We start from the raw sequence: 16,134 nt of genomic DNA, 5'->3' as shown, positions 1-16,134 counted from the left end.
CAATTTATGGCCTTAAATATGAAAAGATAAAATTTACACAATTATAAGAGAAAATGGAATAACCCACAGTTATTGTGGGAAATTCTGCAATACCACCCTCAATAATTAAAAGAGCCAGAAGATAAAAACTCATTAAGGATAGATAAATTTAAAGAAAGAGATTAGCAAAGCTCACCTAATGAAGAAAAAGAGAGAGGAAGTGAGAAAGAAAGAGAAAGAAAATAAAAAAGAAAGAAAGAAGGAAGAGAAAGGAAGGATAAAAGAGTGAGAGGATAAGAGGAAGGGAGCAATGAAGAAAGAAAAGAGTTGAACTCAGTTGCAGAATATATACTTTTTGCAAGCATACTTGGAACATTTTTCTAAGTTTGAACATACTCTTGTCCATAAAATAACTCTCAACACATTCCAAAGGGTAAAAGTTACACAGAGTATGCTTTTTGACAACTATGCAGGTAAGGTGGAAAAAAAGAACAAAAAAAATGCTACAAAATATCCTCGTGTTTGGAAATCGAGAAATACACATCTACGAAACCCACAAACCAAAGCAGAAATTAAGATGGAAATAAAATATTTTGAAGTAAATCATAGTGAAATTACTATATATCAGAATAATTGGGATATTAATAGAGCAGTACTTAAAGAAAAAATGTATTTATATAAATGTATACTGAAGCCTACAAATTAATAAACCAAACACCTATCTCACAAAATTAAAAGAAAAAGATACTGAAAAACTAAAGCAAAAAATAAATTTAAAAATCAAGAAAAAAGTAATAATATTATTTATGTGTTCCCACCTGGCAGAGGACGAGAAGCCGTCATAATCATAATAATCATAATAGAAGTCAATACAATAAAAAACAAACACAGAGAAGATCAACAAATCCAAATGGTGTTTTTTTCAAAATGAATAAATTGATAGACAGTGAGACTGGTCAAAGAAAGAAGGTGCAGGTAATCAATTTCATGGATAAAATGGATCAGTCCTTATAGACCAAGCAGATATCAAACAGTTTATAAAGTAATATTATGAGCAACTCTAAGCCAATAGAACATTTACTTGAAGTGGATGAAATATTACACAAAAATAAAACTCACCAAAATTGTCCTTCCCTTTTATAGATAATCTGATTAATCCTTAATTTAAGGAACTAAATTTCTAAAAGAAGCAAAAGATAACTTCACTAAGAAAATGTTAGATCCACATAATGTAGCCGCTAAGATTTTTCTAAATATTTAACAGAATAAAATTTGAATTATAAATAATTTTTTCTTGACTTTATTAACTAATCTTTTAGATAAGTTAGATAAAATTATAAACTACTCTCTCATAGAGATAAAACACCTGAAACAAAATATTAGCCAGATTCAAATGATATAAACCATGACCTCATTGATTTTAAACCTGAATGCAAGAATAATTGCTCTTAAGAAAACCAGCATATTTCAACTAAAAATGGTTATTAAAGGAGATTAATAATACAATAATTTTAATATATGCATAATAATATTTGAGAAAATTAAAAATCGATTTTTAATGAAAGCACTTAAATTAAGAATAGAAAATAACTTCCTATACTGATAAAAGAAATTCAGCAAAACAACAACAAACAACTTAATGACAAAATGTTAAAGTGTTTCCCTTAGGTTCTAACTTAGCGAGAGAATGGCTCTATCATGTATTTCTTTTCAGTATTGTACGGAGTTCCTAAACAGGATTTTAAAAATTGTAAGTTATCTAGTGTATTAAGTTTTTAAAAAATAAGTATAAGAATTGGAAAAGAAGAAATAAGTTGAAAAGAATAAACAAAACTATAATTATGTGTACATGCTCTGATGGAAAGTCTCCAAAAAGATCTATTAAAAAAAAACTATAAGAATTAGTGAGAGTTTGCCAAAGTTGGTGACAATAAATCAATCTAAATCAATTTTTAAAACTCTATTTCTCTACACCAATAACACATAAAATAAAGGTTAAAAAATACCACTTCAATACTTCTAATAAAGATGCAAAAATCTATAAGACTAGAGACAAATTTAACAAAAAATATAAGACATCTGTGTAAAAATATCCACCTTTGTTGATGACATTAAAGAACACTCATGGAGAAATACACTATATTGCTTTATTGGAAAACACAACAGTATAATATAAAGGTGTCAGTTCTCCCCACACTGAAAGGCATGTGTTCAGTGCAATAGCAAACAAAATCCCAAAAGGAGTTTTTTATATGATTCTATAACTTTCTTATATGATTTTTATATGATTCAGTTACGAACATTAATATAACCAAAATAGTTTTCATATTTTAAAAGAAGAACAAGCTGGGAGATCTTGATGTATCACTATCAAAGCTTTTTAAAAAGGTATAGCACTAGGGGCCGGGTGCGGTGGCTCACATCTGTAATCCCAGCACTTTGGGAGGCTGAGGCAGGTGGATCACAAGGTCAGGAGTTTGAGACCAACCTGGCCAATATGGTGAAATCCTGTCTCTACTAAAAATACAAAAATTAGCTGAACATGGTGGTGGGCTTCTGTATTCCCAGCTACTCCGGAGGCTGAGTCAGGAGAATAGCTTGAACCAGAGAGGCACAGGTTGCAGTGAGCCGAGACTGTGCCACTGCATTCCAGCCTGGGTTACAGAGCGAGACTACATCTCAAAAAACAAACAAACAAAAAAAAAACAAAAAAAGGTATAGCAATAGGTACAATGTGTCAGCTGACCTGAAGACAGACAAATAGACAAACAGGCAAAAGTAGATAGCCCAGAAGTAGAGCCATGAACGCCTGACAGGATTTATGATGGTAACAGCTTTGAAAATCAGTGTTAAATTGCAGTCTTCAATAAATGAAACCCAGTTAATAGGGGACTCATACAGCAACATAAATATTTGTTTAATACACAAATTTACTAGAGATATTGGATCTAATTTATCTGGCAAAACATTTCTTATCTAATGAGATTTCCACAAGTCATTATTATTATTATTAAAAGACAAGCAATTCAGAAGAAAAATGGGCAGATACTTTAACAGTCACCTCTCAAAGGGGTATACACATGTTCGAAAAACCTGTGATAAAATGCTTTATGGTATTAGAAATTGAGAAAAAGCAAATTAAAATCAGAAGGATATAGCACAGATTCACTGAACTCACAAAAATTACAACAACTGACAAAAGCAAGTATTGCTGAGCACATAGAGTGATGGTAATATACCATGCTTTCAGAAAAACTTTTGGATCATGTATTATTAACAGGCAATTCCATTTCTGATCATGGACAATTAAGCATACGTACAACCGGATAAATGTACAATAATGCTTCTTCCAGCAATGTCCATGAATAGCTAAAACTGGAAATAATCCAAATAACCATTATCAGTCTAATGGGCAAATACCTTGCAAAATACTCAGACAATGGAACACTATAAAAAGTGCAAGGACTACGTCCTATGAAACATGGGTAATTAAAAATATTGTTTAGTGAAAGAAGCAAGGAATGAAGTGTTGTACACTTCCATTTAAATAAAGTTCAAAATTAAGCATAACTAAAATAGAATAGCGACACAGGCATGAGTGATGAGAATATAAGCAAAGAAAGGAAGTGACTGTCATCTAAGTCAGGATAGTGACTCTATGAATGGAAAGGTGACATCAAGAAGGGATGTTCAGGGGGACCAGGGGTTCTGGCAGTGTCCTAACTTTTGCTGTGGGTAGTGTTTATATGGGTGTTTACAATGGTTTGTTAAACAATATATTTTGTTTTATGTACTTTTGTGGCTGTATATCTCACAAAAAATGTTTTTAAACTGTATAATAATAATTTGTAAAATAAAACTTATACATTCTATGTAGAAATTCTTCGTGATGTTAGTACTTAATGGGAGGAACTGCGAAGACTTAGTTATGATTCATGACGCTTAAAAATGCCAATTGTACTTGTCACTTATACACAGTGTGATATATACCACATTCCTATCTACATCTATAGACGGAGGTGTAAATATAGATTCAGATATAGACACAGAGTGAGGATAGCTGTAGCATTGTGCTGCCACATTTATATTATTTGTAAATCTGAAGTGATTCAATTTGAGTTTTTCTGACATCAGATAAAATGAATAAACTTGAATTTTCACAGTGCTAAAGAATCTGAAACTCAGTTGTTATTGCATTTCCTATGAAAGAAAACATATTTTAACATCCTTCTCATGTTTGAATACTTGCTTATTGAAAGCTCCGCAAAGGTTATTTGAACACATTTGCACACTAATTTTTGTATGAGGCAGGTAGGAAGTTTATTAATATGAGACCCTCATATTTTCTAGAAGCTTATTCCTAAATACACACAGTTCTTTGGCAATGTTTTACCATTCACCAGGAGATATCTATGCGAAACAGTTCAAAACAACAGGACTATTTTCCACGGAAATTCAAAGATATGTTCCTCTAGACGATGGAGAAATGAATCTGGGAACTGAAGACATTTGAACTTTGCAGCATCTTCAGTTTCCATGGCTATAGGCTTCAGGATGTGACACATTCCGTTAACATATAAGCTGCCAATTTGCCTTGACATTGGATGACATGACCCCTGGCAAAACGTAGATTGTTTGGATTAGTTGTTTTCTATTGCATAGAAGCAAAATGTGTTAGAATAATGGGATGAGAATTTATAATTTTAATATGGCAGTCATCAGACTTTATGGTTCCTTTTGAGATTATCAATTATTTTATTCGTGAGAAATCATTTTAAAAAATAGAAACAAAACTTGGCCTTTAATGTTGAGTTACTGACTGTATTGACTACGTTAAATCCTGTGAAAATAACGGAAATTGTGTTTAAATACAGAAAGTGGCAGAAGCTACATTTTTTTTACCATTAAGGAAATTGTGCTTCCAACGCAAGTGAAAGTAGTTGTAAGTTTTGTCATTACAGGGGATCTAGTTTGACTAAAGAGTTCTATATGTTGGTAGAAATTTCTTTTTTTTTTTTTTTTTTTTGGTTTTTTTTTTTTTGAGACGGAGTCTCGCTCTGTTGCCCAGGCTGGAGTGCAGTGGCGCGATCTCGGCTCACTGCAGGCTCCGCCTCCCGGGTTCACGCCATTCTCCTGCCTCAGCCTCCCAAGTAGCTGGGACTACAGGTGCCCACCACCACGCCCGGCTAATTTTTTGTATTTTTAGTAGAGGCAGGGTTTCACCGTGTTAGCCAGGATGGTCTCGATCTCCCGACCTCATGATCCGCCCGCCTCTGCCTCCCAAAGTGCTGGGATTACAGGCGTGAGTCACTGCGCCCGGCCGGTAGAAATTTCTTAATTGGTCATGAAGGAAGGAAGGTTTGTTCCTGTCCTGTATTAACAGGCACCTGTACTGTGTCTGTCGCTTGAGAGTAAATGACTTCCTATGTTTAGAAAGGAATCTTTCTAAACATGTAAAACTGTAACTTGCAAATGCAGTCTACTTCACAAGGGAAAATATCAACAATGCTAGAATACACTTTTTTTTTCTATTTTGCCTGCTTAGTAATTTTGTTAAAAAAGAGAAATGATACGTAAGCAACTCCCTCCTAAATGTACACAGTGTTCCCCATTGATATGCTTTGGCTCTGTGTCCCAACCCAAATCTCATGTCAAATTGTAATCCCAACATGTTGAGGGAGGGACTTAGTGGGAGGTGATCAGATCATGGGGGCGCTTTCCCCCATGCTGTTCTCCTGATAGTGAGTAAATTCTCATGAGGCCTGATGGTTTTATAAGTGGTGGTTTCCCCTGCTCTCTTCTCTCTCCTGCTCCCTTGTGAAGAAGGTGACTGATTTCCCTTCTGCCATGATTGTAAGTTTCCTGAGGCCTCTCCAGCCACGCAGAACTGTGAGTCACTTAAACCTCTTTCCTTTATAAGTTACCCAGTCTCAGGTATGTCTTTATAATAGTGTGAAAATGAATTAATACACACATTGGCTTGTATATTAAAAATCTACACACTTTTTTTTTTTTTTTTTTGAGATGGAGTCTCGCTCTGTCGCCCAGGCTGGGGTGCAGTGGTGCGATCTCGGCTCACTGCAAGCTCCACCTCCCTGGTTCACGCCATTCTCTTGCTTCAGCCTCCCGAGTAGCTGGGACTACAGGTGCCTGCCACCACGCCCAGCTAATTATTTGCATTTTTAGTAGAGACGGGGTTTCACCATGTTAGCCAGGATGTTCTCGATCTCCTGACCTCGTGATCCACCTGCCTCAGCCTCCCAAAGTGCTGGGATTACAAGCGTGAGCCACCGTGCCCAGCCAAAAATCTACAAACTTTTAAGAATGTGGTCCAATGTCATTCTAAATGATATTGCAAGAATAGTGACTTTGAATCCATCTTATATCTCAGATGTGATACCAAGTCTAGTGGAATGTTGAGAAAGATGATAGAAACGGCATCATTCATTTTGTTGTTAGACACTATTGACTATGCTCTAGATTTGAGAAGGCAGAAAACCTGGTTTTGAGCCCCCACTATGCGATTTACTGGCTATTTGACTTTGAGGTGATTTTCTTTAAATTCGATAGAATAATGATAGTTACTGTGATGTTCTGGTAAGAAAATGTATCTGAATGTGTGAGAGAAGCCAGGGATGCACACTTTACTGAGCGGACACAGATTCTTCTTCAGCCACCCATTTCCTAGTTAAGGATGCCGGGCTGTGCCTCTCTGCATCCGTCATCAAACTTTTGATGAAGTTGTTGCCTCTCAGTTTTAGGTATGTCTCCTTCAAACAGCTTTTAATTAGATTGTGGAGATAAGGATTGACGCAATCATGGAGACTTTACCTTTTAATACACTCATTTCAAGTTCCACGATTGCTTTATTTGAGTCTTTTTACTGTATGGCACGTATCTTTTTTAAAAATTTATTACTGTGGTGGTTGTATCTAATTTATAAAAATGCTATGGAGTGAAAGTTTATGTCCCCCCAAATTCACATGTTGACACCCTAATGTGATGGTATTGGGAGGTGCAGACTTTAGGAGGCAGTTAGATCGTAAGAGTGGAGCATCCACGGCCGGGCACGATGGCTCACGCCTGTAATCCCAGCACTTTGGGAGGCCGAGGCGGGTGGATCACGAGGTCAGGAGATCGAGACCATCCTGGCTAACACGGTGAAACCCCATCTCTACTAAAAATACAAAAAATTAGCCGGGCTTGGTGGCGGGCGCCTGTAGTCCCAGCTACTCGGGAGGCTGAGGCAGGAGAATGGCGAGAACCCTGGAGGCGGAGCCTGCAGTGAGCCGAGATCGCGCCACTGCACTCCAGCCCGGGTGACAGAGCCAGACTCCGTCTCAAAAAAAAAAAAAAAAAAAGAAAAAAGAAAAAAAAAAACCACTGTTTTCCTGAAGTAGGTTTTCCTGAGGTTTGGGTTCTTTTTGTTGAGGTCTCTTGATATTCCTGTTCATTCAAAACTAACAGCTTATTCTTTAACCAGGCAGATCTACTCAAGTGCCAAGGTAGTTGGTGGATTATCTGCATAGCTTGGATTTAACCTGTTCTCCGTGTCCAGGATGGTGTCTGATTCTCTCAAAACGCATGTCAGAAGACGGTGCTGACCATCTCAGCCACTCAGTTTCCGCGAGCTTGTTTCTATGGGTCTGAGCGTTTGCTACCCCTGCTGGATTTTGTGGATATTCTGAACCAGTGGGCTACAGAAAAAAAGAACAAATCACATAATTACCAAGACAGAATGCTACCGTTGACCTTATAGTTGTAAAATAATGCAGAAATACATAAAATAACGACGGAAAGTGTTGCTTCAATTTCCTCGTTGTCCTCCTGCCACTGTTCCTGCAACGCCCAGCCTACTTTCCTCCTCAGAGATTTTAGCTTTTAACAATTTTGTGTGTCTTATAAACATACCCTTTGGCTTCTATATATGCATATAGATTCATACCTTAGTATTTCCTTCTATTTATTGTATAAAATATCAAGTTGGTGATACCCTATATAAGATTTCACAATGTGTTTCTATTTCCATAAATGTATATCCTAGATAATTTTTTCTTGTCAGTACATTTAAATCTAAACCTTTTCAATGGTAATTCAAACAAAATATTCTGTATTTTTGACACTTACTCTTTCAATAAATTTAGCTGTTCACAAATTTTTGCTTTTATAATAAATGTATTAGACATCCTTACAAATGTGCTCCTTTGAATATAACTACAAGTATTTCTGTTAGGTGCTAAAAAAGGAATTCTGGATCAAAAATGATAGGTATTTATCTTTTCAATCAATGACCCCAAGCTGCCCTCCAAGAAGGCTGCTTTAAATTAGCTTTCCCCAAAGCACCTACTTCTCAAATGCTTTCCAGTATAGATTTTTCATGAAGATGTTAAATTTTGGCAAGTACAATGAGAAAATAAGTTTTATCTTCAATAAATTTCCCATTTGTACTCTTTGCTCAACTTTTCTGGCTTTTATTTGCTTATATGTAGAACCTCTTTACATATGTTATATATAAAGTGTCATCTGTTCTGTATGTTGCAAATTGTTATCTCCAAGCTTTTTATTATTTTTTAGCTTAGTAGTCAACTAGGCCAACTTCTTTCTGTCTAGGTCCTGAATTTTGTTTCTTGTTTAAGAAGTTTCACCCTTTCAAAAATTTAAGCCTACTCTTATATTTTAAAGGATAATATTCAGCCCTTTAGTTCACTTCTTAGCTTTTGAGTGAGACATCAACCTGGAATTTGTTTTTCTAATTCCCCCAAACAGCATTGTATTTGTCCATTCTCACACTGCTATGAAGAACTACCTGAGACTGGGTAATTTATAAAGAAAAGGGGTTTAATTGACTCACAATTTCATATGGGTGGCGAGACCTCAGGAAACTTACAATCATGGCAGGAAGATTAAGAGAAAGCAAGGCATGTCTTACATGGCAGCAGGAGAGAGAGAGCAAGGGGGAAGTGCCACTTTTAAACCATCAGATCTTGTGAGAACTCCCTTGATATCATGAGAACAGCATGGAGGAAACTACGCCCATGATCCATTCACCTCCCACTAGGTCCCTCCCTAATTCGTGGGGATTACAGTTTTAGATGAGATTTGGGTGGGGACACAGAATGAAACCATATCAAGCATATAAAATGCATTCTCCTGCTTTGGAAAAAGAAAAAAAATCTGGGAAATCAGTGGCATTTCTGATTAGGATATCCACTAAACTGGAGGAAAATCACACCCCTCAATTCACTAGACCTGCTTGCAAATCTAAAATGGCATGCTAGTAAATTCATCAAAACATAAAGACTCTGCACTTTAACATCTATTCTTGTAAGAATTGCTTAGAAAAAAATTAAATATTATGTGCAATTTGTACTTGCCCTCACACAAGGAAGTTGCCAGTAAATAGAAACCAGATTATTATGTAGAAAATCACTTAACCACTCAGAATTTTTTAATGGGAGAATAGAAAAGAACTAACCCAAAGTGGGCTAGAAATACAGATCTCAGACCCCATGCTTAGAAGCAACAACTCTTTGTTTATACCCATGCAAGTATTACACTCCATTTCTAGCTGCATATTTCTCCTTACAGTTTGTGCATTTATGCTTCAGTTATTTAGTCACGATTAAGTATCTTTTTCAACTAACCATTTTTATACACGTTATAAACCTAGTTAAGAGTGGAATCGCTTCACAAATTGTTACAAAAAGGAATAAAAAATTACTGACCATTGTGGTAAAGTTTCAGAAGCTCACAGAACACAGACTGGAAAAGCACCAGTCTTTACACATCAGGGGCTGCAGGAAGCTTCCCCCTGTGTAGGCTTCATAGGCACACAGTGACTACTGAGAGTAATTGATATCTAATTACAACATTTAAACATTGGGTATCCCATAAGAGATGACTCTATTTCTGTAGGAAAAGACAGCAGGCACTCATTGGTTAACTGAGGCTTGGGTATGTCAACAGAGTGATTTCTGCTATACGTGGTTCATATGGGGCTCACGTCTGAGACCACTGAGGAGGTCTTCTTCAGAAAAGCCACCTTAGAACTGTAAAATCACTCGCTGAGGCCAAAATGTTTCCAGAAATGTGAGCAGTGTAAATAAATTCATCTTTCTTGTGTAGCATTGTCTTCAGTGAAGAGAAACATTTGGCAGGGCTGGCATTTAAGTTCAGTCTCAGCTTTTTTTCTTTTTTTTTTTTTTTTTTGAGACAGAGTCTCACTCTATCACCAGGCTGGAGTGCAGCGGCGCAATCTTGGCTCACTGTAACCTCTGCCTCCTGGGTTCAAGTGATTCTCCTGCCTCAGCCTCCTGGGTAGCTGGGACTACAGGTGTGCGCCACCACACCCAGCTAATTTTTTTTGTATTTTTAGTAGGGACGGGGTTTCACCATGTTGGCCAGGATGGTCTCGATCTCTTGTACTTGTGATCCACCCACCTCGGCCTCCCAAAGTGCTGGGATTACAGGCCTCAGCCTCTGTTCCCGGCCCCAGTCTCAGCTTGGATGCTGACCAGCTTGGTAATGTGACTCTCTCTCTCACTCTTCAGGTTTCTAATCAGTAATATCCATTTCTCCTCATCTCACCAAAATGTTGTGAGAATAAATGAGATAATAAAATGGATGTAATGTGCTTTGAAAGGTGCTAGATTAGTACAAGGTACAGTAATTAATTTTGTAGGCTATTATTAATAACCTATAAAAAATCTGAATGTCACTCTACACCAACTAACTATACCATGAACTGAGAACTAACAACTGGGTGTCAGAATATAGAGAGCATATATATATATTTCCATAATCCCTTTGTAGTAAAATTATTTGCAAGGCACTACATGCTTTGGGGGTTTTTATGCTTTAGAAACCTACTAACACAATATATCTGGTAGCCCCAAATCCTTTAATTAACAGACAAACTAGAGCAACCCAAATTCTGGACTCTATTAGTAAACATACTTTTTATCACAACTAAAGGTTAGCTGTACATATTTCAGCAGCAAAACAAGAGGAAAATATTTTATTTAAATACATTTTCTTGACCACAGAGAATAATGCCAACATTTGCAGTTGTGAGAATAATGCTCTTAGATTCAAATATGCAACATAATAAAACAAATGTATGATCGAGGACCAGAGAGGCAGACAAAACTGTTGTGAAACATGCCAGGGAAATCATTACTGTTCTGTTTATTGGCAGGTCACCAATACTTTGGGACTGTTGAAATTTGAAGGAAATGTAGAGGCCACCTTAATCAATACTATTTTTTTTTTTTAACACATCAGAATTTACTTGGTGAAAAATGTTTGCATAAGGGTTTTTGAAAAAAATATAGCTTGCTGCTACATCTCTTAAGAGGACAGATGATCCCACACGTATGGGTTAATGTAGGCATGTGATGATTGATCCATGAGCTTGGCTCTGGAGCCCTGCTGGAAGTACAATGGATAACTGTTCGGTCCTGCCTGAAATGCCCAGCACCCATCGCCCTCCGTCAGGACTCCCAGCTCCCCACTGTAGAGCCTGCTGCCCTGATACTTCTCCCAATCTCGGCTCTGACCTATCTTTTCCAGTCCAGTCACATGCTCTCCATCACCCTGCCTACCGCCCTGCTTTCCAATCATAATGAACTCATTGCTAAGAACCCTGAGAACCAGGCGACCTCTGCACTTCCATATTTTTGTACTTGTTCTTGCACCCTTTCCCTCTCCACGTGATCCCCATCATTGCTAGTGTGTCTTTTTTACCTGCCCAGTCCAATTGGTTGGTTCTTCAATTCTTCTTCCCTGCTACTTCCAGTGTAGAATTTAGACACTTTATATTGTAATTACTGGTTTACACCATGGATTCCCAGAGTGTCAGGACCTCTGTGTTCATCCATCACTTAGCATAGGATCTGAACCATGGTTGACACCTGGTGTGATCTGGTTCTGGGGAAGACTTGAAAGATATCCTGGATTTTCGTTGCTTCACACTTTCCATCTCTGCTACCCAACAGAAAGGAGAGGTTCGGGTAAAGCACATGAGCACTGATGTATTAGACAATTCTTTTTGATCTAAAGAGGAATTGCTATTACTCTTTCACTGACAGGAAACTTTCGAGAACTCCAGAATGCCCTCTCAGGCAAGCCATCCTGCCTTGCTGTGACCCTGCTGTCCTGTTCTCTACCTGATCCCAGAAAAGGCTAAAGGTTCTGTGGTTCCATTTCAGCCTTGGCAGATTCTAGCTTCACGTGGTATCAGAGTGCTATTGGGAGGTAGAAAGCATTGCAGAAAGTGCTATTGTAGGAGTCCCCAGGGGTCAGCTTACTCACAGTAAGGCTATGAGGATACCCTATAAAGGAAAAACACATACATACACACACACACACACACACACACAGGGTAAATTAGTAGAGACATATTTTGGAAACACTTTTGATTATGGATTTGTGGTGCTATAAAAACTCATAACTTTCAATAATTTTTCATTCATTTATTAATATTTACTGCATACTAGTATATGTCAGGCTCTGCAATAGGTGCTAAGTAACCCATAGTAAAGCAGACATCGTCCTCACACTCAATGAGTCAGCAAAGCAGAAAAATGGAACAGAATTCCAGTAGAGTGTTAAATACCTTGACAGAAGGAAGAAGTGAATGATTTGGTGCCTCAAGTGGCATAAGGGGTTCGAGTGCCTGTAAATTTAAGTGTCGGCCTTGGCTTGGCTTTTCAGAAATTGCAGAAACTCTACTTGTAGATAGAAATTAGGTGCAGCTTGTTTTCACAGAATCTGTGTAGGATCTATACCATGTTTTAATTCGTGATAACATATTAAAGCTTTCTGGAAAGTGTCATATACCTAATAAAACACAACTTTTTTTCTGATTATAAAGATAACTTCTTATTAATGGTCCGCACTATTACAAATATTTCTTGTAATCTTTTCTTCAGTCATTGTTCAAAAAATCATAGCTGCTGTCAGGTACTTTATAAAGGAGAGGTGATGGATAAACTCATGAAGAAACTTCCAGTGCAATCCATTTCTAGAAATTCCTCTCTTTTTTTTCAACAGACAGTAATCAGGAAGAGTGGCCACAGTTACATCTAAGGTCATCGGAAAGCTGAAGAAGAGATGATGTGTCCGGTTGATAGGTGACAGGTGGGGTGAGCAAGGAGGGCAGATAGAAGGGTAAAAATATATTATGTGATACAGTTAACATTACGTTAATCAAAAAGCACCTTTATTTAGTTGGTCCACAACTTCTGTTTCTGTGTGACTAAAAAGTAAACAGCTAATATCAGGTATTCATTTTGTAGTAGAACCAATTTTGGTGTGTGATAGGGTTAAAACAGATTGGATCTGACATTCTAAGCAACTCCATATGCAGTTCTGGACACTGACTGCTGTTTTGAATGTGCTGGCCGCTAAAAACACATTTTTGTGACTATCAAGTCAGATGAAGAGTATTTGAAGGAGCTGAATTTTTATTTCAAGAAGAGAAGATTATATTTTCCTCAAGTATGAGAATGATGAACTTAAGTATGAGGGAGATGAATTTTATTATGTATAGTGCCTAGAGGTAGAGATTGGGCCACTTAATAAAAGGTTCAGGGGACAGAGTGCAACTTAGTATTGAGTCTTGTCTTCTCTTGGGAAATGGTGCTATGGTTTGAAGGTATACTCCCGAAGCATGTGTTGGAAACTTAATCCCCAGTGCAACAGTGTGGAAGGATGGGACCTTTGGGGTGGTTAGGCCATGAGGGTTCTGCCCACTTGCGTAGATTTATGAGATCATCAAGGGAGTAGGTTAGTAATTGTGAGAATGGGTTTCTGGTAAAAGGACAAGTTTGGCCGCTCTCTCTCTCTCTGTTTCACGTGCGCATGCACCGTCTCTTGCCCTTCTGCCTTGCACCATGGAAGGCCGTAGCACAAAGGGCCTAACCAGATGTGGGCCCCTTGATCTTGGACTTTCCAGCCTCCAGAACTGTAAGGCATAAATCTCAAGCCGGCTCAAGCCATCCTGGCACAACTCAGACTGCTGCTTCAGAAGATGCAAGCGGTAAATGTTGGTGGGTCCATATGGTGCTAACTCTGAGATGCCCAGAGTGAAGAAGCTTGGGGGCATGGCCTCCTCCACCTGGTTCCAAAGGATGTCTTGGACAGCCCTGGGGCCCAGGAAGAGACTTTTGTTGGGGTCTAGCTTCTGCAGAGAGTCCCTGTTAGGGCAATGCCCAGCAGAACTGGGGTAAAGGCCACTGTAGAGACCCTGGAACTATAGAGCTACTGGTGTGCAACTCTATCCTGGGAGAGCCATGGCATGGCTTGAGCCCAGCAAAACCATGGGAGTGGGGCTGCCTGAGGCTTCGGGGGCCCAATCCCTGCCCCAGTGTGTCCAGAAGGTGGCACATGGAGAAAAAGATTATTCTGAAGTCTTAACACGTAATACTGTTTGCCCTGTTGGTTTTGGGGCTTACTTGAGAACTGTTACTCCTTTCTTCTTTCCTGTTGTTCCCTTTTGGAAAGGGAATGTCTATCCTACGCCTGTTTTACTATTGTATTTTGAAAACAGATAACTTGTTCAATTTCACAGACTCAGTTGGAGGAAAATTTGCCTCAGGGTGACTAGTGCCTTTTTTCTCACCCATGTCTAATTTAGATGAGACTCTGGATTTTGGAGTTTGAGCTGATGCATTAAGGAGTGCATTAAGATGTTGAGGGGTTATTGGGAATTCTATAACTGAACTGGTGGTAGTTTTGGCAAAACTGTTGCTTGCAAAAAAGGCCAATCCATATGCAGAGTAAATGTCCATTCTAGTAAGCACAAAATGTTGCCTCTTCCATTATGGATGTTGTCCAGCATAATCAGCCTGCCATCACGTAACTGGCTGATCACCCTGGGAAATGGTGTCATAACAGGGCTCAGTTTTGGTCTTTGCTACTGGTAGATTTGGCACTCCGTGGTGGCTACAGACAGGTTGGCCTTGATGAGTGGAGGTCCATATTGCTGAGCCCATGCATAACCTCCATGCTGCCACCACGGGCACTTTATTCATGAGCCCATTGGGCGATGACAGGCAAGGCTGGGGAAATAGGCTGACTGGTATCCACAGAATGGGTCATCCTATTCACTATTGAGACATTCCATACAGCATTTCTTCTGACCAAGGATATTACTTCACAGGCAAAGAGGTGTGGCAATGTGTTCGTGTTTATGGAATCCACTGGTCTTATCATGTTCCTCATCAATCTGGAACAAATTTCTTTGGGGGGGTTGGCCTTTTGAAGATACAGTTCTAGTGTCAGCTAGGTAACAAGTTCCCAGGGTTCTCAGTCTTTTGTAGTGTTTAGGCTGTGTAGGTTTTCTAGAAGGCTGTGTAGGTTTTCTAGAAGGCTGTGTATGTTCTGAATCAGCAGCCAATATATGGTGTTTTTTTTTTCTCTGATAACCAAGATTCATGGGCCCAGGTATCAAGGAGTGGAAATGAGATTGGCACCACTCATCATTACCGCTACTGATCCATGGGGCCAACTGACTTCCTGGTTCCATGACTTTATTTATTCCTGGTTCCATGAGACCTCTGCTGGACCAGAGGTCTCAGTTCTAGAGGGAGAGATGTTTCTACCAGAAGGATTATCACTTTGTTACTTTGGACTCTTCATGCCTCTGAGTCAAAAGACTAAAAAAGGAGTTCCAGTATTGGCTGGAGTGACTAACTCAGGTTACCAAGGGCAAATTGGACCATTTTTCCACAATAGAGGTAAGAAGAGCATGCCTGGAATACAGAAGATATCTTTGGGCGTCTCTTAGAATTACCATGCTCTGTGATTAAGGTCAATGGAAATTGCAACAACCCAATCCAGGCAGGACTTCAAATGGCCCAGCCCCTTTAGAAATGAAGGTCTAGGTCACCCTGCCATGTAAAGAAACATGGTTAGCTGAGGTGCTTTCTGAAGGCAAAGAAAATATGGAATGGAGTAGAAGATGGTTATAAATACTGGCTATGACCACAGGACGAATTACAGAAACAAGGACAGAAATTGTCAGCAGTATTCCTCCCTACTCTGTTATGAATATGTTGCAAGTACATATATGTGGATCAAGCAAATGTCTTTTTTTATTCCTGTATTATATCTTTATCATATAATATAAGAATTATTGGCTTTCCATTAGTA

General features: G+C 38.5%; 1 annotated feature.

The window, feature by feature from the left end:
- Positions 4,954 to 5,129: a silencer, noted in NCBI's record as "fragment chr2:5567196-5567371 (GRCh37/hg19 assembly coordinates)". NCBI's record gives its function as "represses an EF-1alpha promoter that drives an FKBP-Casp9 reporter gene in an ReSE screen in K562 erythroleukemia cells {active_cell/tissue: K562}" and the evidence as "EXISTENCE:reporter gene assay evidence [ECO:0000049][PMID:32094911]".

This window comes from Homo sapiens, chromosome 2 (assembly GCF_000001405.40).
Source record: "Homo sapiens chromosome 2, GRCh38.p14 Primary Assembly".
NCBI classification, from domain to species: domain Eukaryota; kingdom Metazoa; phylum Chordata; class Mammalia; order Primates; family Hominidae; genus Homo; species Homo sapiens.
Note: the sequence above shows the minus strand (reverse complement) of the source record. Positions and strands in the feature narration are given on the sequence as shown.